The 26,854-nt window shown below is 43.8% G+C and overlaps 1 protein-coding gene and 1 long non-coding RNA gene across 10 annotated transcripts in view, besides 3 other annotated features; one reads left to right on the top strand and one right to left on the bottom strand.

The window, feature by feature from the left end:
- P4HA2 (prolyl 4-hydroxylase subunit alpha 2) overlaps positions 1-14,949 on the top strand; it is a 37,707-nt gene extending 22,758 nt beyond the window's left edge. For 6 of the 9 annotated variants that reach the window (NM_001365681.2, NM_001017974.2, NM_001142598.2 and 3 more), the window contains 7 exons: positions 944-1,014; positions 1,249-1,348; positions 6,164-6,217; positions 6,716-6,775; positions 9,616-9,684; positions 10,074-10,170; positions 12,016-14,949. In NM_001365681.2, the coding sequence (NP_001352610.1) occupies positions 944-1,014; positions 1,249-1,348; positions 6,164-6,217; positions 6,716-6,775; positions 9,616-9,684; positions 10,074-10,170; positions 12,016-12,086 (522 nt within the window). In that variant the 3' untranslated portion in view covers positions 12,087-14,949. Of the gene's footprint in view, positions 1-943; positions 1,015-1,248; positions 1,349-6,163; positions 6,218-6,715; positions 6,776-6,824; positions 6,891-9,615; positions 9,685-10,073; positions 10,171-12,015 lie in introns of all 9 variants that reach the window. The other 3 variants (NM_001365677.2, NM_001142599.2, NM_004199.3) reach the window with 1 other exon arrangement.
- On the bottom strand, positions 12,291-20,220 carry P4HA2-AS1 (P4HA2 antisense RNA 1). Its single transcript, NR_047470.1, has 3 exons — positions 20,009-20,220; positions 17,723-17,801; positions 12,291-12,835 (listed from the first exon to the last, which is right to left on the bottom strand). It is a non-coding gene; the product is annotated as a P4HA2 antisense RNA 1 (long non-coding RNA).
- Positions 14,566-14,860: an enhancer, noted in NCBI's record as "tiled region #7421; HepG2 Activating DNase unmatched - State 12:CtcfO, and K562 Activating DNase unmatched - State 12:CtcfO". NCBI's record gives its function as "activates a minimal TATA promoter and a strong SV40 promoter by Sharpr-MPRA in HepG2 and K562 cells {active_cell/tissue: HepG2 | K562}" and the evidence as "EXISTENCE:reporter gene assay evidence [ECO:0000049][PMID:27701403]".
- Positions 20,057-20,558: an enhancer, noted in NCBI's record as "NANOG hESC enhancer chr5:131520231-131520732 (GRCh37/hg19 assembly coordinates)". NCBI's record gives its function as "activates a minimal SCP1, AML or CMV promoter by ChIP-STARR-seq in primed H9 embryonic stem cells {active_cell/tissue: H9 hESC(primed)}" and the evidence as "EXISTENCE:reporter gene assay evidence [ECO:0000049][PMID:30033119]".
- Positions 22,901-23,428: an enhancer, noted in NCBI's record as "H3K27ac-H3K4me1 hESC enhancer chr5:131517361-131517888 (GRCh37/hg19 assembly coordinates)". NCBI's record gives its function as "activates a minimal SCP1, AML or CMV promoter by ChIP-STARR-seq in naive H9 embryonic stem cells {active_cell/tissue: H9 hESC(naive)}" and the evidence as "EXISTENCE:reporter gene assay evidence [ECO:0000049][PMID:30033119]".

Genomic DNA, 26,854 nt, shown 5'->3' with positions numbered 1-26,854 from the left:
GCCATGTCTCAGTTACCTAGCATAGTGCCAGGCACAAAGTAGGCACTCATCAATATTTATTGAAATCAAGGGGAAGTGTGTTGGGGTGGGAGTACCTGGGCCTATGGCCCCACCCATGTGAGGTCATGAGGACAGTCCACAGCTGAAGCACATGGACCTTTGCCATGTTGGCTGGCTCTGGGCGGCGAGTCCCCCTTGGGGTTTCACTAAGCCTAACTGTGGAGGCTGGGGGAGATGAAGTAGATGCAGGGAGTGCATGTGTAGTGTGTACCTGTATGAGTGGGTGGCTTCCAGGCAGTGGTTCACTTATTTTAACTTACAGAATCTTTTCCTGGTTTTATCATCTGACTTGTAAGGATCCCAAGGGAGCGAAAACTGTGCCATCTGTCTTTGCTTCTTGAGGCTGTGGGAACCCAGTGTGAGGTGGTGCAGCAGGAGAGTGTTTGGATGGGTTTCTTGGCAGAGGAGCCCACTGAGGTTCGGAAGGATGGTGGAACTTGACTCAATTGAGAGAAGTACATAAGGCGGAGGCTCAGGCATGGTGGCACAGTCTGAAAATGGTGGGAGTAGCTAAGCTCAGGCAGGCTGTGCTCAGGCAGGGGTGGTATGTGGGCCTGGCAAGGAAAGGGGCTAGTCAGGCAGATGCATGGGTAGACAAGGCAGGCATAATTCTGCAGGCAAAGCGGACCTGGGGAGGAGAAGGGATGAGCAGTGACCGAGCAGGGCAATAGCCAGGAACTGATTGCGGATTGGGAATGTGGAGGCCTCAGACTCTTGCCCTCAACTGGCCTGCAGGATCTTGGGGCCTTGGCTAGAGCCATTGGCTGCAAAGCTTCCTCCACTAGCATGGCAGTAAATCTGGTCCCAGTGCTCTCTGGGAAAATATTCAAGGCAAAACAAACAAACAAACAAATCAAGTCTTCCCTCTCCTCCTTCCTTCTAGCTTGCACGAGCCACCGTTCGTGATCCCAAGACAGGAGTCCTCACTGTCGCCAGCTACCGGGTTTCCAAAAGGTAAGCAAAGAGCAGGGGTTCGTAGCTGCTCAAGCCCCAACTTCAGGACTTCTCAGTGCCTACCCTAGGGATGGGTGGCTTGCCTTTTCCTGCCTGCTGGCACCTCCTCACCCCCTTGCAGCAGGCATCCTGTACTGCCTGTTCATGCTGGCCCTGACTCTGGGGACAGAGTTCAGGACCTCATGGAAGCCTGCCCTTCCGTCTTCTTTTCTCTGCCCTTTTCTTTTTGCCCAGCTCCTGGCTAGAGGAAGATGATGACCCTGTTGTGGCCCGAGTAAATCGTCGGATGCAGCATATCACAGGGTTAACAGTAAAGACTGCAGAATTGTTACAGGTACAGATAGTACCTGGGACTGTAGGAGTTGGGAAGTGGGTATTTGTGGCTAGATGGTCTCACAGGGTGTCCAGAACTGGGCCAAGAGGCCCAACTGTATGACTACTGCCTGATGCTATGAATATGGAGTGATCTCATTTTAGGAAACCAGAATTAATCATGCCTGCTGGCTTTCAACAATTAGTGTTCAACAAATATCTATTGAGCATCTGCTGTGTGCCCAAGTGTGCTGCAAGCTAGGGATCAGGGGTAGTTATGGTAGGTTCGTTCATGTCTTCTTGACAACAGAAGCTCAAATCCTGAATGGTCTCAGGGACATCTCTAAGAGAGCTAAAAATGACTTCAGAGGCCATGGTTCTGTGTCATAATCAAATACATTTGAAGGTCAAAGTATTCTGTGTGTTTTCTCCTGCTGAACCACAACTGAAGTTGCTCCAAAAGCAGCAGCAGGGGACTTCCCATGAGGGACTGCCAAGATGGGGTCAGTTGAGAATTCAAAGAAAGCGGCACTAAACCCCTGGGTCTTCAGTCCACAGCATTTATTAGGGAACTTGCAGAGTGGGCTGCAGCAATCCTCAAAATGGACAGCAAGAGACAAGAATTGTTTTACCTAAGTATTTCCACAGTGAGGGAGTCAGAGTGTGGAGTTTATTTGAGGGTTTAGGGAATTTGGTTCAGGGCTGGGGCTAGTTTCTTTCAGTGTTATGGGCAACAACCTAAACACCTTCATCAGTGCCTGGGAATGTTGAAGACTCCAGCTTGTGTTCCAGCCTGAAGGGAAAAACCTGCAGCTGGCTGGGTCACAGAGCTGTCAAGGGAGTCTGATTTTCAGTCAGAACAAAGAAAGAAAGGCGGGGTGGGTCTGGGGGACCTTACACTGTGATATGTAGGTGGAAGTGAGAGGCCTGGACTGGTTAAGCTGGTGCAGGTGGAATGTTCTTGTCCAAGTACTCCCACTGGGACCCTGGCTTCCTGCCTTTATTCAGAGGTGATTTTGAAGAAATGTGGCAGCACCCTGCTGAAAGGTTTTGGGTAAAGCTCCTTATTAAAGTATCCTCTTGGGTAAAGCTTAGTAAAGTGTCCTCTTGGGTATTGAGTCCAAATCAGCACTGGCTATGTTCCCTTATAAATATTGGAACTTCTGTGTTCTGTTGTAAAATTGATGACCTGAGACACCATCAGAGAAGTTTCACTGGCATCTTTCTAGAGGCCTCTGGGTCTCTCTGTTTGGCCAAAGTTTCTGTATACTTAAAGATAGCAGCCTTTACCTTTAGGATTGGCATTTGGGTCTGATCTACCATAGATCTCATTAGAATATTGATTAAAGATCATTTGGAAAAGATTTTTTGAACTTTTGCTTGGACACGCCTAAGCAAATCAGCCTTCTTTTTGTTGTTTTTTCTGTGTAGCTGCATCAGCAATTGGAAAATCAATTTTGAAGGTCATCTTTATGGATTGGTGTGAAGTCTACCAGAGTTTTAAAAAGCATACTGATTACCTTGCAAATAGTACTGTGAAATTTTAATTTTTTTTTCAGTTCAGCTCAACTTAGTGTTTTGTAATTTTTAAATAAATTCTGCAGATAAGCACATCCATGGAGGACTTCTGCCTCATCTCCCACTTGCTGCGTATGTGTAAGAGCACCACCATTTCAAGAGTGATAGGCACTCTTGATGTGCTAGATGAGTCCCTGTTGGCATTGTCTTGATTCATATCTTCTTGGAGCAGGTTTTTGTTTTTGTTTTTAAAGACATCTGCCACTGCTTCCTCTGTGTTAGAGCCAGTCTTCAGGACTTTCATGGTCCTGATCAAAGACCACAGTCTGCTTGGCTGATTTCATACCCTGGACCAAGAGGCTGAGTAGACAGGACCTGTGGCTCTGTTGCTTTCCTGGCTAGCTGTGCGGCTGTACTCACTGTATCCCTGTCTTACACTCACCCGTGGAAGATAGCAGCTTCTTGCCTATGGACTGACTTCTCTGCTACAATTCAGCCTTTATCTTGTCTGGCCTCTCATTGTGTTGTAGCTCAATTGTCTGGGGCCCGAATGCCAGACCTCTTGGTAGAGGGGCTCTTATAGTTAAGGATCTTCTGGAAATTCAGACCACAGCTGCCAAGTGGTTGAGATGCCATTTTTGTTTGTATTCTTCTCCTAGGAACTGTCTCGACATTTCCTTTGCCAGTCAGTGGTATTGAAGGCTTTGATCCTTCATGGTCTGGGGAACAGGAACCTGGGTTTCAGCATGTATCCCTAAGTGCTTACTCCATATGAAATGCTTGTGGTATGATACATGCCTAGGCACCAGCAACAGCCCTCACACCAGGTCCTTTAGGAAATGCTGCAGGCCTCTGGAAAGGAGCTGGTTCTTCTATCTGTTGACATTCTTTCAGCTGTAGCTCACATGTTTGCTGTAGATCATTTGAAGGAAAAAGGTAATTGAGGCTTTCTGGTGAATTGGATGAGGGCTTATCTGATAGAGAGGAAGAGATGCTACACCTCTAGGATTCTAAAGATTGAAGACTTTGGCTGCATGATGTCTCAGCCTCACCAGAAAAGTGATTTCTGACCTTTTTAATTTTGCCTTTACTCTGTCCTTAGCATTGTAAATACCCACATCTTTCAAATAACTGACCCCACTCTTACAATAGTAAGTCTAAAGATTTAAGTGAATACCTCCTCACATGAATCGGTCTTGACGTACAGTTTCTTGTTATTAAAGGCGTGAGCCTGGGGACTTGAGTATGCCTGGATAGGGAATCTTACTGCTGCAAATCTAGATGGTCCTATGCATTTTGTACTTATTTGGGAACTGTATTAAAGAAAGTAGGTACGGTGGCTTCAGAACCATAATCAAATATAATTCTCCAAACCTAAAAGATGAGCCAGCTCTCGCAATGCAGCTTCTTTCACTGCCTGGGATTTGTAAATTTAAGCAATCCATTTAACAAGTGGAAGTATTGGAAAATGCAGTCATACTTTGCAGCTCCAGCAACAAGCACTAATTGAATTTTCCTGAGTGTACCTGCACAGCAGTCACAGTTGTGTTTAAAATTTTCTTCCATGCCAGGTGTCGTGGCTTACATCTGTAACTCAGTACTTGGGGAGACCAAGGCAGGAGGATTGCTCGAAGCCAGGAGTTTGAGACCAGTCTGGGCAACATAGTGAGACTCTGTCTCTACCCCCACTCCCCCCAAAAAAAAGGAGAGAGAAAAAAATTTTCTTCAAGCTCTTGACTACAAAAAGAGATATGCTTTCTCAGCTGCTCTGGCACTTCTCTCCTTAGATGCATCTCCAGCCTTAGGGCCACCTGCTGAACCAGGCTTCCTTGTGCTGTTGACAGGATTTCCAGGTATTTTTGGTACAGGAATCTTAAAGGCTGAAGCAATGGATGACAACATGTTTTCATCCATGCTTTGTATTAAAATTTTTATTTTTGTAGACATGGAAAATGATACTGCCAACATTTTGTGCTCTAATAAGAGGATTTCATCTCTTATAAAGTCCACTGTCCCTTTCTTTCTTGCATTTCTTTTTTTGTGTGTATGTGAAACAGGGTCTCACTCTGTTGCCCAGGCTGGAGTGCAGTGGCACAGTCATAGCTCAGTGCAACCTTGAACTCCTGTGCTCAAGCAATCCTCCTGCCTCAGCTTCCTGAGTAGCTGGGACTACAGGTGCACGCCACTGTGCCCAGCTAATTTTTTCATTAGTAGAGACAGATGGGGTCTTGCTATGTTGCCCAGGCTGGTCTCAAACTTCTGAGCTCAAGCAGTCCTCTCACTTCAGCCTCCCAAAGTGCTGGGATTACAGGCGTGAGCCAACACGCCTGGCTTCTGTCCCACGTTTTTATAGGTCTCTGTTATTGCTAGTTTTGTAGCATCTCTCACCTGACTGTTGGGATTGCAGAAAAGGATATACAAAAAATACCAACTTTCTGAGAACTTATGGCCTAGCCCCAGAGGTTTTTATGTTTTCAGTGAGACACAATAGCCAACTGTTCCCAGATGGACATTGGTGGTGCTACTTGATCCATCAGCTTCCATGTCAGATTCTGTGCTTCATCTTTAACCTTGTCTCTCATTCTGTCTACTGACGCTGAGACAATAATTGTGATTTAGGACTTCCCATTGTGCTGATAAGCTGTCCACAAAGGCATTTACAATTTCTAATCCAATTTATGACACCTGGTAGTTGCTCAGATGTTACTTCAGGTCCAGGGTCACACTGGGGTTGCTGATGTAGCACGGTAATTCTTGACTGCCTGGCAGCTGGCCACCCATGTTGTGCTGTTTCACTCCATGCAGTAGACCACTGTGGGAGTCTGCCCCACTCAGTCTCACCAGGAATAGCAGAGGTGGTAGGAACAGTGCCAGGTGCTGAGTACCTCCAAAACTAGTTTAAAAAAGAAAATCCTCGTCTTAAATTTGTTACTCACTTTCCTCTGGATTACTTTCTTAATATGTCCCAAACAAACTGGGTCCAGGCCAGGGCCCGCCTCAAGCAGTGTTCCCTTTGCTGCTGTCTGAGTGTCCATGAAGGGCTGGTGCTTTTCCTCAGTGATCATATGCAGTTCACCCATCTTGTTTTGTTTGGGAAACCACATTTGTGCCGCAGCCTTACTCTTGGACAGAACTGTAGACTTGTTTGTGATGTTTGCTCTGCCTGTGCTGCCAGGGCATGGTTGTCTTCCACCTTAGAGAGGCTGCTCTTGGGAGTTCTGGTTGTTTTCAGGCCTGGGAAGATGGTATCCCTAGAGTGATTGGCTGCTACAGAGCTGTTCATGCTGCTTACAAGGTCTAATGCTGTTATTTCCCACAGGTTGCAAATTATGGAGTGGGAGGACAGTATGAACCGCACTTCGACTTCTCTAGGGTAAGGCCTAAATCACAGGTGCTTTCAAAGGGCCCTGCTCTAGCTGATTTGAGAAGGGTGGAGCTTCTAGGAGCATTTCAGCCTCCACATCAGTACCCCCACCCCTTGTCCTCCCTCCACCTCTGCATCACCAGGGGAAACTCTTCGTTACTGGTGAATCCCAAATCTGGAACCAAGGGTCCTGCAGAATGCAGTGGAGCCTGGCTGTCTCCCCTGTAGATGTGGGGCGTTCGTCCCCTGCCCTAATTCTGTCACCCTTTGCCCTGATTCTAAAGCAAAGAGCCTCACTAGGTCTTTGTGAAAACTGTTCTTGTCCCTTTTCCTCTTCCCCGTCTACTCCATGCCCTAGCCAGAATTTACTTTGCAGCTTTGGCACATATTCCAGGCTGATTTATGGAACACACACTTATTACTTTTCCCTGACCCTTTTGGTCCTAGTCTTGTGGGTGGTGGATGAAGCCTGTTGTAAACTTGGGTGAAAGTTGTTGTCTGTTGCAGCGACCTTTTGACAGCGGCCTCAAAACAGAGGGGAATAGGTTAGCGACGTTTCTTAACTACGTAAGTACTGGGTCCAGGCCCACCTGTTCATTCTCACTTAATTTTGTAGAATGATGAGCGAGATACTTTCAAGCATTTAGGGACGGGGAATCGTGTGGCTACTTTCTTAAACTACGTGAGTATGATGTGTGCTGATGAGCCCTAAGGGGACCCTGGGTCCAGAGGGCTGCCTTATATCCCACCCCCATCAGGGCTGATCTCATCTGCTGTTAAGTAATGGTCAGGTCCTTCTGGCTCTCAGCACCCTTCTTGGCTGCAGTAGGGAGAGTTGGCCTCTGTTTCTATTCATTTTCCCCACTGCCACCAGCAGGACTTTAACATTCCTGGCTCCTATTTTTTTCCCCAGTGTTTAAAATTGTGATAAAACAGACATAACATAAAACTTACCATCTTAACCATTTTTTAAATGTACGGTTCAGTGGTATTAAATACATTCATAGTGCGCAAGCATCACCACCATTCATTTCCATCTATTTTCATCATCTAAAACTGAAACTCTACCCATTAAGCAATAATTCCAGATTCCCCTCCTGCAGCTCCTGGCAGCCACCATTCTGCTTTCTGTCGCTGTGATTTTGGTTACTTAAATAAATGGAATCAAAGTATTAACACTTGTCTTTTTGTGTGGCTGGTGCATAATGTCCTCAAGGTTTATCCATGTTGTAGCATATTCTGGCTTCTTCTTCTTCTTTTTTTTTTTTTTTTTTTTTTTGGAGATGGAGTCTTGCTCTGTCACCCAGACTGGAGTGCAGTGGTGGGATCTCGGCTCACTGCAACCTCAGCCTCCCAGGTTCGAGTGATTCTCATACCTCAGCCTTCCAAGCAGCTGGGATTATAGGCGCTAGCCACAACGCCTGGCTAATTTTTGTATTTTTAGTAGAGATAGGGTTTCACCATGTTGGCCAGGCTGGTCTCAAACTCCCGACCTCAGGTGATCCGCCCCCCTCGGCCTCCCAAAGTGCTGGGATTACAGGCGTGAGCCACTGCGCCCTGCCATTCTGGTTCCTTTTTGATGGGCCCAGTGCTAGTCTGGACTTTTGGGATGGGTGCCCTGGAGGGTTCCCTCCTTGGCATCAGAGTGAGGAGATAGCCTTAGCTCTCTCTAGATGAGAGCTGCCTTTGTGTTCTCCAAGGCTTAATGGCCTGATTCCCACCTCTTGCCTCTGTTTTATCCATAGGTTGTAGGGTTTATCTTTCACATGAGGAGCAGTTTCCTCTCCCCTCTGCTGAGAGCCAGCTCTAAAGAGGCATAGAGGCAGTAAAGTAACTTGGAGACAGAAGCCTGTGTCCATTTTTTCCCTTTATGCTTTTATTGTGTGGTTATTACATGCTGGGGATTGTGCTGTGTACATGCTGGTGAGCAGAACATATGTGGTCTCTCTTGTGCTTGAGGTCCAATATGAGAGACTTATTTTAAACATCAGAGAGATTCTTCTTTATCTTTTTTTTTTTTTTTTTTTGAGACAGACTCTCCCTCTGTTGCCCAGGCTGGAGTGCAGTGGCGCTATCTCAGCTTACTGCAAACTCTGCCTCCCAGGTTCAAGCGATTCTCCTGCCTCAGCCTCCCAAGTAGCTGGGATTATAGGCGTGCACCACCATGCCCAGCTAATTTTTGTATTTTTAGTAGAGATGAGGTTTCACCATCTTGGCCAGACTGGTCTCAAGCTCCTGACCTCAAGTGATCCACCCGCCTTGGCCTCCCAAAGTGCTGGCATTACAGGCGTGAGCCACCATGCCCAGCCTAAACATCAGAGAGATTATTATGTAGTTATGGAGACAGGTGCTGTGAACCCCAGGCTTGGGGTTCAGTGGAGGCCTCTCTTTGGAAGTAACATATCAGTTGAGACTTAAAAGTTGAGTGGAAATTAGCTGGTAGAACATGGTTTCTGGCAGAAGAGAGAGTGTATGTAGTCCTGTAAGAGAAAAGGAACTTGGGATGTTGGAAAGGTAGAAAAAGGCTGGTGTGTCTGGAGAGAGGCTAGTGAGACTGACAGGGCCTTGGGGTTCTAGAAAAGAATCTGAGTTTGATCCACAGGGCTGTGAGAAGCCATCAGAGCTTTTGTCTTATTCATTTACCATATGTCTGTCAAGTACCCTTCAGTGAGTCTGGTATGTGTCCTGTGGAAATATTTTTTACCTCCAATTTTTATTAAATTATGGACAAAAAAAGTAAGAGAGCCAGATGGGAAAGAAGTAGTGCTTTGGCCATGAGTCAAGGCATGCTCTGTGGGCATGAGTACAGCCTTGCTAGTGTGGAACTTGTGTTCAATGTAGTTTAAGGCCTTACCATAGGAGAAAGCAGGGCCTCTAGAGACACAGTGCCCCACCCTTCCACTCAGTTGGCCCCAGGAAGGGTGGCTACTCTGGGAAGGTGAAGGTCTGACTAGAGCAGCAAACTACTAGAGCCAGAGAAACAGAGCTGCAGTGGGGACTGCACATGGTGTTGGAAACAGTACAGAGCTCCTGGTCAGGGCACTTTGCAGAGTACAGTGGCTTAGGCAAGGCCAAGGCTAGATGGGGATTCAAAGGGTGGGGTCAGAACAGGCATTTTCTGAGTACAGACTCAGATTATTTTCATCCAGGGACAGCCCGGATGTGGGTCTCCTGTGGGCCTCAACTCTTGAACACTCATGACATGGAGACTGTTCTAATGAATCACACTGGTTAAGTAGGCATGGGAAGAGCCTTTCTTGGCTAAAGGGCTGGCCATGGAGCAGACACCAAGTAGTGTCACTCATGCTGAGAGGAGGGCAATCTATATACCTTGTCATGTCCTTTGTGGCTCAATTGCTCTGAGAGCCTTGGGTAGGAGGGTCAAGCTCTATGTCTTATATTTCCAGATGAGTGATGTAGAAGCTGGTGGTGCCACCGTCTTCCCTGATCTGGGGGCTGCAATTTGGCCTAAGAAGGTAAGTTCTGATTCTTGTGGGTCAGAGGTTGAAGCAAGGCTCAGACTTTACTTTGTCCATGTCCCCCAGTACCATTACCTGGCCTGCCTGATTGTCACTGTGATGTGCCTTAGCCCACCTGGGGTCTGACCTGGTAGCCCAGCTTCTCCCTGTGAAGAAAGGACAGGGAGGGAAGTCCCTTCAGGGGCGGGTGAGTTCCCAGACTTCTACCTCAGAAAGGTAGGTGCTTTCTGGGAAATGTCTCTGTTGCTGGAGTCCCAGAGCCCTATCCCCTGTCCATGGGAAAATGAGGGTGTTTCTGCTCAGGGCAGAGCTTCTGTGATGCTTGCAGTCAGGTCCCTGAGCACAGTCTCTTAAGAATGTGTTCTGAAAGGCCATCTCTTTCCCAGGGTACAGCTGTGTTCTGGTACAACCTCTTGCGGAGCGGGGAAGGTGACTACCGAACAAGACATGCTGCCTGCCCTGTGCTTGTGGGCTGCAAGTGGGGTGAGTGTCTTAAGGGGTAGTGTTGGTGTTGGTGGCCTCAGCTTGGGCTTTGCTTATTGGCCTTAGATTCTGAGCTGGGAGGCAACTGCTGCCAAATTTGCTGAGACTGTCTCCCTTCTTAGGTTTTTTTCTGCTGTTATTACCATCCAGCCATGTAATGTCCATGCAGCTGGTAAATGCCAAGGCAGCTGGTTGGAAACACTCAGAGATACACAGGAAGCTGAAGAAGGCCTGAGGACGAATAGCTGCATAAGCACCATAGGTCCAGGACCCTCTGGCAAGGCTTCTGAGGGAGCAGAGTGGAGAGCTGGAAGCAGTGAGGGGAAAGAGTGTCTCAGGCAAACAAGGCCCATATGGATGGAGGCACAGGCTAAAACCAGCATACGGGTGTGGGGGCTGGCTCCCTTGTCACTTGAAGAAAGGGAGGCCTGTGGCACAGGGGCCAGAAGATGAGGCTGGAGGCTGGGACCAAACTGCAGAGGCTCAAGCTTGAGCCTTATCCTGGGAGCAGTTGTGGTGAGCCTCGGAGAGGCTCAAACCAGGATATGACAGGAAGTGTTTGTAAGGAGATGAGTGTGTAGCCCCCTTGGAGAGTTTTGAAGATAAATAGTGATAGGTTTGCAGATAATTAAGCAAATGGAAAAGAAAACAAGGCAGTTGCTGAATTCAGGGGAAAAAAAGTTGTACAAGAAAGGAAATGTAAGTATAATCTACTAGATGGCTCAGGTGTAACACATGATATAATTATGTACACACTGAGTATTACTTTAACTAAAACTTATGATTTACCTGTACTGGAAAGGTGGGAGGGGATGAGTTTGTGTTTTAGGGGTAGAATAAAAGAATTCCAAAGTTGAAAGTCAAGGAATAGAACTATAAGCATCTTATCTAGAAAAATGAGGTTAAATATCAGAAGAAACAGCTAGAGGAGTTTAATGTTCCCTGGGAGTGGAGATTAGGGATGGGAAGGAGAGGCTTAGGAGGAGTGCTATTTATCATTATAAGCCTTGCGACAATTTTATTTTTTTCAATGAAGTACATGTTATTACTTTATATTTTAAAAGCTCTGTGACTTCAGTAGTGCATTGAAATAAAATTTTTATTCATTATGAGAGAGTCTGTGAGGAACAGAATCATGGTTCCTGTGTGTTTGAAGATATGGCGTGGGGTGATAGTGCTGGCAGCAGCTCTGTTGCTCTTGTGCCCATGGCATACAGACTGGATCTGCTGGTCCACGGCTCCTGAGGTTAATGTCCAAGCCCTCTGCAATGCTGACAGTCTTCCTCATCCTCACACCCTACCTCTCAGTTTCTACCTGCCACCTCCCAGTAATATTAGGCCTCTTGAGTCCCCAACACACGTCAGGGTGGCTTCTGCCTTGATTACTTTCTCATCCTGTTGTCACTCCTGGGACCCTCTTGGTGAGAGAACCATCTGGGTATGCCCATCTTCTTCCCAGGATAACTTCTATGTAGCTTTATATTCTAGCCCTAGGATTTCCTCTTCCCTCTAAGAGCAAGAAACATGTGTGCAGGTTGCCATGGGAATAGAGCCAAAGGGCATCAAAGGTCATGGGCATGAAAGGGCATGATTAGATGCCCTTGGGTGCTATTCCCATGGCAACCTGCACACATGTATCTTGTCCCACTGGCAGAATTTCATACAATTATCTGTTTACATGTGTCTTCCTTACCAATTCTTCAGCAAATTGAGGCCTGAGATCATGTCTTGTCTTATTTGTGTCTGATTCCAGGGCACAGTGCAGGGGGTCATCATGAAGGAGTCATTCATTCAGGCTACTAAACTGACCAATAGGATTGTAACATGCTTGCTTTCTTTTCACAGTCTCCAATAAGTGGTTCCATGAACGAGGACAGGAGTTCTTGAGACCTTGTGGATCAACAGAAGTTGACTGACATCCTTTTCTGTCCTTCCCCTTCCTGGTCCTTCAGCCCATGTCAACGTGACAGACACCTTTGTATGTTCCTTTGTATGTTCCTATCAGGCTGATTTTTGGAGAAATGAATGTTTGTCTGGAGCAGAGGGAGACCATACTAGGGCGACTCCTGTGTGACTGAAGTCCCAGCCCTTCCATTCAGCCTGTGCCATCCCTGGCCCCAAGGCTAGGATCAAAGTGGCTGCAGCAGAGTTAGCTGTCTAGCGCCTAGCAAGGTGCCTTTGTACCTCAGGTGTTTTAGGTGTGAGATGTTTCAGTGAACCAAAGTTCTGATACCTTGTTTACATGTTTGTTTTTATGGCATTTCTATCTATTGTGGCTTTACCAAAAAATAAAATGTCCCTACCAGAAGCCTTAAAGAGCCTTACTTGGAGTATTTTTAAGACTGGAAGCTTTTACCAGGTTCATCATTTCCTATGCATCACCTTCATGCAGGCAGAGTCTGGATAATGAATGCTTTAGCAGCAAAAAAGCATCTTGGGTCTTGGATTTCAGACCTGGTTTCAACACTTGTGTTCCCTCTAAGTGTCAGTGTCCTTTTCTGGAAAGTAGGGTAAATAGTTTCTCTTTGTCTCCCAGAGAACATAGCACATGTGTTCATGATTGTAATGCTGTTATAATGTGTACTTCATTTTTAAATTTTGAGATAAGAATTGTTCATGATACACAGATGTATACTTAAAAAAATATGAAGGTGAGCAGGAGCACCTGTGTCAACACCAAGTTAGAAAAGAGAACGTTTTCAAGTCAGTACCTCAGGAGCCCCTTGGGAACCCCTCCTAGATCACATCTCCTTCACTGCCCCCAGCACTTTGGAGATAAATCATTGTCTCATGATGTGTGGTACTCATTCCTTTGCTTGTCTTTATAGTTTTACCATCTATGATTAGATCCCTAAATAAGTAGTTATTCTGTTTTCCCTGATTTTGAACTTTTACTAATAGAATGAGAGTAAATATTTTTGGGTATGTGGCTTCTTTTGTTCAACATTGTTTTAAGATTCATCCGTGTTGCTTGTGTAGCTGTAATTTGTTTTAATCTTTATAGTACATTCAGTTTTGTTAATGCTTATTGTAGGACTGTACCATAATACAGGCAGCATGCTGCTGATAAACACTGGAATTGATTTCAGTCTTTGTATATTGTGAATAATGCTGTGATAAACATTTTTATACATGATTCCTGGTGCACATATAAACACATATTTCTGTAGGATATATATCTAGGAGTGGAAATGTGGAGTCTTAATGGTGTTCCAACTTTACTAAATAATGTATTCCAAGGTGGTTATACACATTCTCACCAGGAGTAAATGAGAGTTATTACCCCAATCTTTTCCAGTATTTAGTATTTTCATACTTTTGAATTTTAGCTAGCTTGGTACATGTTACGGACTAAATGTTTGTGTCCCCCCACCAGATTCATATGTTGAAATCTTTTTTTTTTTTTTTTTTTTTGAGACGGAGTCTCGCTCTGTCGCCCAGGCTGGAGTGCAGTGGCGGGATCTCGGCTCACTGCAAGCTCCGCCTCCCGGGTTCACGCCATTCTCCTGCCTCAGCCTCCCAAGTAGCTGGGACTACAGGCGCCCGCCACTACGCCCGGCTAATTTTTTGTATTTTTAGTAGAGACGGGGTTTCACCGTTTTAGCCGGGATGGTCTCGATCTCCTGACCTCGTGATCCGCCCGCCTCGGCCTCCCAAAGTGCTGGGATTACAGGCGTGAGCCACCGCGCCCGGCCCATATGTTGAAATCTTAACCCCCAATGTGATGATATTAGGATGCGGAGCCCTTGGGAGGTCGTAAGCATGGAGCCCACGTGAGTGGGATTAGTGCCCTTATGAAGAGATCCCAGCCCTCTTTCTGCCATGCGAACACACAGCAAGAAGATGCCTGTCTATGAACCAGGGGGCCCTTACCAGAAACAAACCTACTAGCATCTTGATCTCGGACTTTCCAGTTCCCATAACCATGAGAAATAAATGTTTTTAATTCAATGTATGGTATTTTATTATAGCAGCTCTACCTAAGACAGTACATGTATAGTGTCTATTTGAACATTACTGATAATGTTGAACAACTTTTCATGTTTATTAGTTATTAGGTTTCTTCAAGTGTTCTTATTCATACAAATTTTAAAATATGTACACAAGTTCTTTGTTATATATTTTGCAAATATCTTCTGTGGCTTGTCTTTTCACTATTTTAGTTCTGTCTTTTGATAAACAGGAGCTTTTAATTTTTATGTCAAATCTATCAAGCTTTTTCTTTTTGATTTATGTTTTTTATGTCTTATTTGAGAAATCCTTCTATACCCCAAGATCATGAGGATGTTTCCTGTGTTCTCTTCTGAAAGCTATATAGTCTTTGTCATTTAGGTTTATCTTTATACGTGGTATGAAGTGTAAAGTTCTACTTTTAATTTTTTGCATATTTTATTAGGATAGGATGGGCTTTTTCTGTAGTAATAATCCTTAAATCTCAGGGGCTTAATATATAAAATTGTCTCATGCAAAAAACCACTGGGTCTAGGGCAATTGCTATCTACTGCCGTCTAATCTCCCTCTAGTGGCTTCCATTGGTAGACCCTAACAGGAAGCCAGCTGATAAGGGAATCTGGGAAATGTAGTTTACAGAGTGGCAGCTACAGTAGAACAGTAGAGACTACAAGGATGAGCTTGCAGCTGAGAATAGAAACGTGACTGGCACACTAGGTGGTTTGTTTGTAGGTTTTTTCTTTTCCTGTTTGAGACTTTTTTGGATTCTTGAATTTGTACAATGGTATCCTTAATCAATTGTGGAAAATTAAATGATTTTTTCTTTCAGCATTGTCTGTTTCTTCTGTAACTGATTAAATGTAAGTTGGATCATATCATGATATTATCTCTTAATCTGTCTTTCATATTTTTATATATATGCTATATTTGGGGAGAACTTTATAGCTGTTTTGTACAAAGTTCACTAATTCTGTCTTCTATCAAGTGCATACAGGAGTCTGTTTAAGGACTTTAAAGATGTAATTCTTTGTTTTCTGGCTTATACCATTTCTGTTGAAAAGTCGCTATCTGGTCCTTTGTTGTTCCTTTGAAGGTGATTTTGCCTTCACCTGGCTGCTTTAAAGATTTTTTTCTTTTTGGTTTTCAGTAGTTTTACTATGGTGTACTTAGTATGGGTTTCTTTTTCTTTTCTTGCTTGGCATTTAGCTTCTTGAATTTCTGGGTTGATGTCTGATCAATTTTGGAAATTTCTCAGACATTATATCTTCAACTATTGTTTCTGTCCCATTTTTTCTCTATCTGCTCTGAGACTTCAGTAATCTGAATGTTAGAACTTTTCATAGTGCTCTATATATCTCCAGTTCTTGTGTCTCTCATGCTTTTTTCTTTGTGTTTCAGACTAGATATTTTATACTGATCTGTCTTGCAATTCATTTATTACTTTTGCTGCTAAACCCATCTACTGAGTTCTTAATTTCATTTTTCTTATATTTCTCAGTTCTAAAATATCCATTCATGTCTTTTTTTTTTTTTTTTTTCCTTGAGACGGAGTCTTTCTCTGTCACCCAGGCTCGAGTGCAGTGGCGGGATCTCAGCTCACTGCACCCTCTGTCTCCCAGATTAAAGCAATTTTCCCACCTCAGCCTCCCAAGTAGTTGGGATTAGAGGCACGCACCACCACACCCAGCTAATTTTTGTATTTTTAGTAGAGATGGGGTTTTGTCATGTTGGCCAGGCTGGTCGCAAACTCCTGACCTCAAGTGATCCACCTGCCTCAGCCTCCCAAAATGTTGGGATTACAGGCGTGAGCCACCACGGTTGGCCCATTCATGTCCTTTTAATGGATTTTAACTCTCTGGAGAATCTGTCTTCTGTTTTCTCTGTGTTTTTCTCGGACTGATAAATCAGTTATGTGAATTTTTTTGTCCGATAACGCCATGATTTCGATTTTCTATGGCTCTCTTTCTATTGTCTTTTTCCCTCCTTAGTTTCTGGTCATTTGGTCCACTCTGTTGATATGCCTGGCAATTTTTGATTGAATGTGTATGACAAATTGTAGAGCCTCTGGATGGATAACCTCCTGCACAAAGGGCTCACCCTTTCCTCTACTATGCAGAGTGGGGATCAATCACCTTAATCCAGTAAGGATCTGAGCTGACTTAAAATTAAGACTGGGTGGTAGTTTTCTTAAGACTCTATCTCTGGTTTACCCTTATTTCCCCCCTTATAGGATGTAGTCCTCCAGGATTTTCTAATTGAGAGCCTAGTGTGTTCACTGGATCTGTTTCCACTGGCAGTTCCTCAACTCTAATTCTTGTCTTCTCAGTACCAGACTCAGCCCAAAAAATTTATCCTCCTTTTCAAAGAATTTGAATTTTTGAATCTAAGCAGATATTTTTTGCTTACCTTCTTAGCCTTGCATTCTGCACAGCGTCAGAATTCAGAAAATGCCTCAGTGGGTAAACAGGCTGAGTGGCCAAGTTCTCCACTCCTCCCTCTTATTCAATATTCTGAGAAACTACTGGCTAATTTTGGTTTTTCAATGCCCCTTGACACTGTCAAAAATTATTTTGGTTTCTCTGCCTCTTAGTAGTTGCCCATTGCTCTGGATCCTCATTCTTACCCCATGGCTACAATCAGTAAATAATAATAATAATAATAATAATTATTATTATTATTATTATTATTATTATTTTGAGGTGGAGTCTGGCTCTGTCACCCAGGTTGGAGTACAGTGGTGCAATCTCGGCTCACTGCAAGCTCCGCCTCCCGGGTTCACGCCATTCTCCTGCCTCAGCCTCCCGAGTAGCCGGGACTACAGGTGCCCACCACCACGCCCGGCTAATTTTTTGTATTTTTTAGTAGAGATGGGGGTTCACTGTGTTAGTCAGGATGGTCTCAATCTCCTGACCTCGTGATCTGTCCGCCTCGGCCTCCCAAAGTGCTGGGATTATAGGCATGAGCCACCACGCCCGGCCAGTAAATTGTTTAAGGATAAAAGAGACTACAGACTTTTGGCTCACCCACAAGATTTATCCTTCTTCAGGATCTTGATGCTCAAACTCTTTTTGCTTCAGCAATTGACTGATGTCTTCCAACAATTTTAAGAGATTTTATTCAGCTTTATTCTAGGAATGAAAATTGGTCTACCATAAGCTACTCTATCTTGGAAGTAGAAGTGGCCTATTCATTTTTTAAAAAATCATTTTTCCTATACTGATACAGAAAACCTTATCTTTCATATCTTCTTTTGTTACCTAGTATAACAAGACGCTTCACACTCATCTTGAGCATTTCTGACATTAAGCATGGAATCAGCCGTTAAAGAATCTTATTATATGTTGATGTCTGCCTATCAATCCCAGCATGGTCCTGGGAACAAGCATGAGATAACTTCTGTCTTAGAGCCAGGGCACTGCTTTCAGCAATCCTTATTAATTGAGCTTGGCATTAATATGTTCACTAGGGCAGTAAAGAGTTATTGAGCGTTTCATTATGCATTTGGTACTGTGCTAGGGATGTTACAGTCTATTACTGCATTCAGCAACTCTTCAGAACGAATACATAAGAAGCAGAACGTCAGAAAGGTTAGGTAATATACCTGAGGTCACATGAAGTCTCATTGCTGGTAAGTGGAGGACCTGGGAATGAAACTGTGGCAGCTTCCAAAAGCCTTTGCTCTAAAACAAAATTTATATTTTCATGCATTTAACAGTTATTAAAGATTTGATGGGGAAACATAAAGACTGTCTTTATCTTTAAAGAATTCTGAGCAATGGAAGGGACTCATAAATAGGTGTGTGAAATGTGAGAAGTCTGGTAACAGAGAATGTGCTTGAGGAGCACAGTAGAGTGAAGGTCTACTTTAACCAAGAAGTTGGCACTACAGTAGGCACCGTTGGAGCTGGGTCTTGAAGTATGAGCAGGAATTTGTTTACTGTGCTATCCTAGTTTAAAATACATGCACGTGGCTTAAAAAATAAGGGACAAAGGAAATTACCCTAAATAGTTGCTGTCCCACCTTACTGCCAACTCCTAGTCCCCCTTCCTAGAGGAACCTTTTCAAATTATTTTAAATTTTTCTGCCTATTAAATGCTTATAAAATGCTGTTCCTTGATTTTTCCACTTCAGAAATTTGAGAGATGATCATTTAGTTTATATTCACTATCTCCCATGGTACCTCCCCCTGCCTTTGCCATTTTTTGATAGTTATATTTTGTATAGTCCTCTCTTGTTTGCCTGGCAACATAAATTTTTTTGTTTGGTTAAAACTAAGATGGTGAGATGAAGATCTAAACTAGAATTTTACCAAACAAATGATCACTATTGTCTAGCCAAGTTGACACATAGAATTAAGTATCATATACCCTTTTGTCTCCCAACTGCCGGTCAGTTATGCTTTGGACATTATTTTAGTAGCCATAGTAAGTTGCTTCTAAAAGTGAAAAACACAAATGTTATGTTTCTTAATTTCGTTGAATTAGTCACTATAATGTTGATGTAGCTAATCATAAAAAGGAATTTGTGTCTTATTTGTCTAATAGAATTCAAAATGAATTTATAATGTATATAATTTGATAGGGCTACAATAACAAAATACCACACACTGGGTGGATCAAACAAAAGGAATTTGTTTTCTTACTGTTCCAGAGGCTAGAAGTCTAGGATCAAGGTGTCAACAGGTTGTGTTTCTTCTGAGGCCTCACTGCCTGGCTTGGTCTGTGTGTTGTCTATGTCACCTCTTGGTCTATGTGTTGTCTATGTCATATCGGATTAAAGCCTGCACATATGAACTCATTTTACTTTAATTATGTCTTTAATGCCCTGTTGCCAAATACAGTCACATATTGGGTTAGGACTTTAGCATATGAATTTTGGGAGAACACATAAAACTACTAGGAAATCATGTTAGATCTGATATACTATTGAGACTAAAGCAAAATACTTTTCCTTACTCTTTGTACATCAGATATAGCCCATCATGAACAAATGTATCTGATTATTAAGTATGTTTGCATAAGAATAATGTCATAACACTAGAAGTTTTTTATTTTGAGAAAAGAGATATAGGCTCTTATGAAATTATTAATAAATTGAAAAAAGATATTGACATAAAATATCTTTGAGGCCATGGATATAATTGGACAAATACAGCAGGTGTGTATATAAGGGTGGAAAAGCCATTATTTTCCCCCAAAATGGTTATGCCAAATAAGTTCATAATCTGTGCAAAAATGCTGCTTCTATGAATTAAAATATAACCTTTTTAGTGTGTACAAATGATACATAATCTTTTATGAATTCATTGAGCAGTGGAATGTTATGCTTGTTCTAAAAACTACATTAAAAACAAATCCTGAGAGGCATCAAAGTCAAATATGATCAAGGTACTTTACACAAAGATGTTTGTCAAATATTAAAAGAACATAAAATGACAAAATACAATATCCTGAAATAGGAACCATCTTTGTGTGAACAGATTACAAATTTTCATGTAACTTGTCTATGTGGCATGGCATTTTGAACTAAATATAGTAGAAAAAGGTTTATGAAAAAAAAGACTATATACAAAGCTGCATGCTTAAGAAAAGGCCTATTCGTTTGCTTATAACAAATGAGAGAAAGTAACTTAAAGTTATGTTTCGTTAATGTAAAACTTTAAAAGAGATATAAATATACTTAAAGAAAAATCAGAAATATACAAATTACTGAATGAGTATATCAATTATTGTGGGAAAAGTGTTCGTCGAATAGAAATTAAAGAGATTACAGATGTCCTAGAGATGGAGATATGAAAAATCAAATGAAGTATTTTTGTATTTTTACTTGGAGAAATTTTCTACGAATACATCTGATTAACAAAAAGCAGCCATGGCCTTGACTTACCTCTTAAATAGTCCAATGATTTATATCCTGTGGCAATTTCATCTGAAATAGTGGTAAATAGCATGCAATATCAATAGTTTGCATGAACAAATGTGACCCTGAAAGAGCCAGTCCTTCAAGATGGATCTTAAGTGGCTGAGTGGGCCTAAATTTAAAGCAGAGCCAAGAAGCCATTTGGTGACTAGAGGCCACACACCTATTTTGAGTTCCCTGAAAACCCACACCTCTTTAACTTTGGAACTTTCAGAGCTCACCTGAACCAGCCAATCAGAGCCCACCTCCCTTGCTGCTCAGTTGTATCAACCAATCAGAACTGTGTTTCCATCTCATTTGTATCAGTGCACCTGATTGGGAACCAGGGCAGGAACTTTTGCTATAAAGCTAGAACCCTTCCTTTGTTCTTTGGACCGCACCTTCCTTTTACATTGAAGGCTGTGTTGGACTCCCTAGTTTGCAAACTATTCACTGGAATAAAGTCTCTTTCTTCCAGGGAACTTTTGTTCACATTTGTAATATAAAATCATGATGTTTGTATCCTCTAAAACGGATTTGCAAATTTTTCTTCGGGCAGCCTTACCCAAATTTCAAAATGGTCCTGATAATTTTTTTAAAACAATACCAGTCACAGTGTGATATAGTTTGGATCTGTGTCCCCACCAAATCTCATGTCAAATTGTAATCTTCAGTGTTGGTCATGGGCCTGGTAGTCGGTGATTAGATCATATAATGGAGGCGGTCCTTCATGAATGGTTTAGCACCATTCCCTTGGTGCTGTTCTCTTGATAGTGAGTTATTGTGAGATCCGGTTGTTTAAAAGTGTGTATACACTTTGGGAGGCTGAGGCGGGCGGATTGCTTTGAGCTCAGGAGTTCAAGACCAGCCTAGGCAATATGGTGAAACCTCATCCCTACAAAAACTACAAAAATTAACTGGGCATAGTGGCTCACTCCTGTAGTCCCAGCTACTCAGGAGGCTGAGGTTGGAGAATTGCCTGAGCCCGGGAAGTGGAGGCTGCAGTGAGCCAAGACTGTGTCACTGCACACCAGCCTGGGTGACAGAGACCTGTCTCAAAAAGAAAATGTAGCACCTCCTCTCTCTCTCTCTCTCTGTCTCTCTCACTGTCTCGTTCTCTTGCTCTTGCTCCTTCTCCAGCCATGTAAGATGTGCTTGCTTCCCCTTTGCCTTTAGCCATGATTCATAGTTTCCTGAGGCCTCTCCAGAAATGGAAGCCACTACACTTCCTGTACAGCCTGTAGAACCATGAGCCAATAAACCTCTTTTCTTTATAAATTACCCATTTTCAGGTATTTCTTTATGGCAATGCAAGAACAGACCAATGCACCATGGTATCCTGCAAAATCCTGAAGTTAATTAAGAATTATTTAAGAGGCGCGGTGGCTCACGCCTGTAATCCCAGCACTTTGGGAGGGTGAGGTGGGCGGATCAGGAGGTCAGGAGATTGAGACCATCCTGGCTAACGCGGTGAAACCCCGTCTCTACTGAAAATACAAAAAATTAGCCGGGCGTAGTGGCGGGCGCCTGTAGTCCCAGCTGCTTGGGAGGCTGAGGCAGGAGAATGGCGTGAACCCGGGAGGTGGAGCTTGCAGTGAGCCGAGATTGCGCCACTGCACTCCAGCCTGGGCGACAGAGCGAGACTCCGTCTAAAAAAAAGAACATTATTTAAGATCGTCACTTAAGAAGAGTAGATTTTGACAATTTTATTGATCAGTTTACTTCCATTAAAGTCATTGGTATAAAATATTTAAACTTAATATGAGTTTTAATATACCAACTTTCAATATTGTCAACCAATTTAATGTGTAAAAATTAACAAAAACACGAAAACGTACGTAAGAAGCATACGTTTTTCATTTTGCCTCAGGCTTCAATATAGTTTGGCACAGCACTGCTCTTAAGTTTCCAAACTTGGCATTTTGACTCCAATATTAGATTTGCCAGATTCAGCAAATGAAAATACAAGTAACACCCAGTTTAACTTTAGATAAATAACACATAATTTTTGCATAGGATATATGCATACTAAAAAGTTTGTTGCTTATCTGAAATTTAACTGGGCATTTTGTATAATATCTGGTAATTCTAAAAATAATTATCTTACATGGTTGAAAAAGCTGCCTGCTTCTTAGTACAATGTAACTGTTGCACCAACACCGTCTTGCCTGTTTGATTGCTGGTTATGTGGATGACTGAAGCGCACACACGGGAAGTCATATGGCTTCTGTGTCACACTGTCCAGCCTGTAGGTATGTCCAGTCCTTACCAGGTCTAGAAGAACACAGCAGCCTCACTCCATCCGAGGGCAGAGGAGCGAGCATATTCCCCACTGCCATGACCCTCTCCCCAGCTCCCTCTGCTTCAGTCACACTGACGGCCCCAGTACATTCGTGCTTGTTGGTCCTTCTGCCTGGAAGGTACCAATACCTAGTAGTTTCTACCCTCATTCCTTTCAAGACTGATCAAAGATTACCTTATCCAAAAGAGTTCTTCTTGTTTCACTGCTGTGCTGCTCGGGCTAGTCTGGAATTCCTGGCCTCAAGCAATCTTCCCAAGAGGTTCCTCCCTTCCTCCCTCCCTCCCTCCCTCCCTTCCTTCCCTTTCTTTCGACAGTCTTGCTTTGTTGCCCAGGCTGGAGTGCAGGGGCGCAGTCTCGGCTCACTGCAGCCCACTCCAAGAGGCCTTCATGACTACTACGAAGGATTTGCGTTCTCATTCTCTTCCTCCTTAGCCTGTTTTCTTTCTTTTTTCTTTTTCTTTTTCTTTTTTTTTCTTTTTGAGATGGAGTCTTGCTTTGTAGCCCAGGCTGGAGTGCAATGGTGCGATCTCTGCTCACTGCAACCTTCGTCCCCTGGGTTCAAGCGATTCTCCTGCCTTAGCCTCCCGAGTAGCTTGGATTACAGGTATGCACCACCACGCCCGACTAATTTTTGTATTTTTAGTAGAGACAGCGTTCCACCATGTTGGCCAGGCTGCTTTCCGATCCCTGACCTCAAGTTATCCTCCCGCCTCTGCCTCCCAAAGTGCTGGGATTACAGGCGTGAGCTACCACGCCCAGCCCTGTTTTATTTTTCTTTAGAGCACTTATCACTGAGGTAAAAGGTGGGACTTGACTCCAGACGCAGGCGTCGGACACCGGACCAGATTGAGGACTGGCTAAAACAGGGCCAGGGCCAAAGTAGCTTTCAATCAGCCCACCAGGGTGCTACGTCGGTTTGCAGTTGCTATGACAACACCCTGGCGTTAGGGCCCCTTTCCATGGTAATGACCCAATGACCCCAAAGTTACTACTCCTTCTCTGGAAGTGTCTGCATAAACCTCCCCTTAATCTACATGTAATTAAAAGTAGTAATAAACATGACTGCAAAACTGCCCTGAGCTGCTACCCACTGTCAATGGGGTAGCCCTGCTCTGCCTCTTCAAGAAAGCTGTTTTCTTCTACCTCTGGCTTGCCGTTGAATTCTTTCCTGGGCAAAGCCAAGAACTCTCGTGGGCTAAGCTCCACTTTGGGGCTCACCTGCCCCACATCACTACCACCCGTTAAGAGATTTAATTTGGGTATCAGTTCGTGGTCTGTCTCCCCCATGGTATAGAAGGTCCTTGAAGGAAAGAACTTTGCTTTTCCACTTCTCTATCCCCAGTGCCCAGAATGGGCCTTTGGAAAGCATCGAGCAGCCTCTCTTGCTCAGTGGGCACTGAAATGGCACTCGGAGCTCAGTACCCAGATAAAGGACACCCCCCAGATAAAGGACACCACCCCTTCCCCCGCGCAGGCCTCGGGAAAGGGCGAGGCCGTGCGAGGCCACAGGAAGGGGCGTGGCCTCTGAGGACCTGGGGGCGGGGTCTGGCAGGGTCAGAGGTTTCTGGAAAGGCCTTTGACCTGTGGGCGTGTTCCTAGAGGTCAGGTGGTGAGAATGGCGGGGTCAGCGGACAGCAGTGGGGCTACAGGCTGTGTCTGTGGCTGCCCTGGCTTAGGGCTCTGGCTGGCCCCTCCTTTCCGACCTGGTCTGGCAGAGCAGCCCCGCAGGACCAGCTCGCAAGGCTCCTGGGGCCAGTGGGGCTCTGTCCTGTGAGGCGGTCCCTCCGCAAGGACAGAGTCAGAGAGAGGCTGGTGAGTCAAGGATGTGCTCTGAGCGGGGGTCTGGGTGCGTCAAATGATGTCTTGGACGTAATATCTAAGGCTGACGCTACTTTGAAGAGGTTTAACTTTTGTGAAGATTCTTTATTCTAAACTCGGGGGAAACTTTTTTTTTTTGATCTGCAGTCAAATGCTCTACCACTGAGCTATACCCCTTCTGCCAACTTTTTTTTTTTGTAAAGCATTTGGGGGTTGTGAGAAGATAAGTGGTAGGAAAGGCCATGGGTATTTGGCAAGCTCAAAGTTTTTTGTTTTTAAGGCACTTTTCAGTGTCTTTCTGAAAGTGCGTTTATAACATGGAGGATCAGCCCCCTCCCCACACCCCAGCTTGGTCCTCCCTTCTCTTACTCTTCTCTGAAAAGTCCATCTCTTTCTCTTGAAATTTGCAGCCAACGGAGCCTCACTAAAGTAATGACCCAAACTGCTTTTGTACCCAGTGGGCTCACAGCTGTCATCTTGCCTGCTTCTTTGATTTCAAGAAGCTTAAGGCAAGCTGCTTATGCTAGATTTACTGTCCTCACCTTCCATTCTTAAATTTTTGACGCAGTGAGTCTCCCCCAACTAATTCTCTGGAATTGTCTGGTAAAGTGTTCTGGGTCCTCCTAGTGGCCAAACCCAGTAGACACTTCGGACAGTTTTTTTTTTTTCCTCTAGCGAAGCACTTCGTGATTCAAGTTCTCCTTTATTTCCGGCCTCCCTGGCTCCTTTTCATCAGCCTAGGCTTCTCATATATATGTTCCCTAGTCTAGTTTGTTTCCTTTTCACGGTAGTACTGTATGCTATAGGAGGAAGGATCTTTACTTCCACTGCTTTAACATGTATATGTTTATGATTTATTGAATTGTCTTTTTGTACTCAAATCTTTCTCTTGAGCTCTGTTTTAGACCCTTATATCCAGCCTTCTAGAGGACATACCCACCTGGACCAACATCTAGAATAGGTGTCAGAAATTATTCAACAAATGATCACAAATAGGGCCTGATGTAGGAAAAATACAATTACAATGACTGTTAACCTTTTGGGGTGACAGACCCTCTTGAGACCCATATGAAATTTCAGGGTCTTTATCCCTTTAAAAAGTGCACACAAAATTTTGCCTGTTTCAAAGCTTCCTAGACCTTCTGTAGTTCAAGAATTTGAGGCTTTGGTTAGAGCTTCCTGATATGATAATGATAAAATGAAAAAGTGTGTTTTCACAGATAAGCATCAGATTTGGAAACTTACAATGGGAATGCATTGTATTCCAGCCGTCATCAAACGTTAACCCTGATTAATCACATCAGGCTGATTTATGGAAACATTGTCTTTAGCAGTAGCAACATAGAATGAAAAATCTGGAGCCCTAGAGTTGAAATATACCCCAGCAGACTCCCTGTGGCTAAAATGAGACATACCAAAACCAGAATCTAACGGCCACAGCAAGATGAGGGCTTGGTCATGTATCCCTGTGTTACTAACTACCATAAGGTTTTCTTTCCTGTAAGCAGAAACCAGGTCCTGAAAAACATCACAGAAACTACAGCTGGAAATTTCCTGTTGACCCTGATAGACTACTACTTGACACCAGCCGACCGATCTGCTGGCTGCCCACCATGGTCCTGCCACAATTCTGATGGGACAGAGAATTGGCCTTACTTTCTTTCCTGATAAATAGCCATAGACCTCAAGCCAGCCAGTTTTGGCCAGCTTATAGAGACTGTACACAAACTGTCTTTGTGCCCTGTAGTTCACCTTTTTGATGCAAAGAGCCAAATTCACCTTACTTTAATGCTAAAACCCCACCCCAAAGTGAACATGGAATGCATGTTACATATATGTTTACCCACTGCACACATGCTTGACTTCCCTCATGAATATTCACAGATTCCTTTAAGCCTGCTAAATATAACCCAGCTAATTTTTATATTTTTGGTACAGATAGGGTTTCATCATGTTGGTCAGGCTGGTCTTGAGCTCCTGACCTCAAGTGATCCACCCGCCTCGGCCTCCCAAAGTGCTGGGATTACAGGCGTGAGCCACCGCGCCCAGCCTCATGATGATTTCTAAACACAGATTCCCCTGATCCATGTGGGCGTGTGTGTATGGCGGCGGCAATTTTAGGAGTCAACTATAACAAGGTCCCAAGGAAGTGAGAGGGGAGCCAAGCTCCAGGGGACAGAAGAGGGAAGGGAAGGGCAATGGTGAGTTTCTTTTTTAGGGCCCATGGTGTATGCAGGAAACACTTCCTCCCCATTTTGTACTTTGGTGTGTAATGAAATAGCCAAGCAACACTTTTCTCTTTTTCTGAACTTGCTGAGGAAAAAGGAAAAAAGGGATCCAAATCTATCTGTCTTGGAGCAAAGATGACAGAATTGCAGGCAGTGACATGATCAAATGTGCTGAGGACAGGAGCAAACCACGCACACCCTGGAGTATCCCTGTAAGGCATAAATACCAGCTTCCTATTCCCTTTTGGAGTATGTCCTTTTGGTTTTCCTGGGAGGTTGCATTCCCCAATTTGTAGATTGTTTCTCCCTCTGAAAATAGTTTTTTTTCCCTTTTCTTCCTCTGTGCATCTCATGGTCTTTTGTTAACATTTCAAAGAGAGTTTCTGATTAACTGTGGGTTGCATGTTTCACAGTCCAAATAGCCTTAGCCTGGTCAGAGACCAGGGCCTGCTTCAGATAATTTACGAAGTTGTTGCTATTAAGAGT

The sequence above is a fragment of the Homo sapiens genome, chromosome 5, assembly GCF_000001405.40.
Source record: "Homo sapiens chromosome 5, GRCh38.p14 Primary Assembly".
NCBI classification, from domain to species: domain Eukaryota; kingdom Metazoa; phylum Chordata; class Mammalia; order Primates; family Hominidae; genus Homo; species Homo sapiens.
Note: the sequence above shows the minus strand (reverse complement) of the source record. Positions and strands in the feature narration are given on the sequence as shown.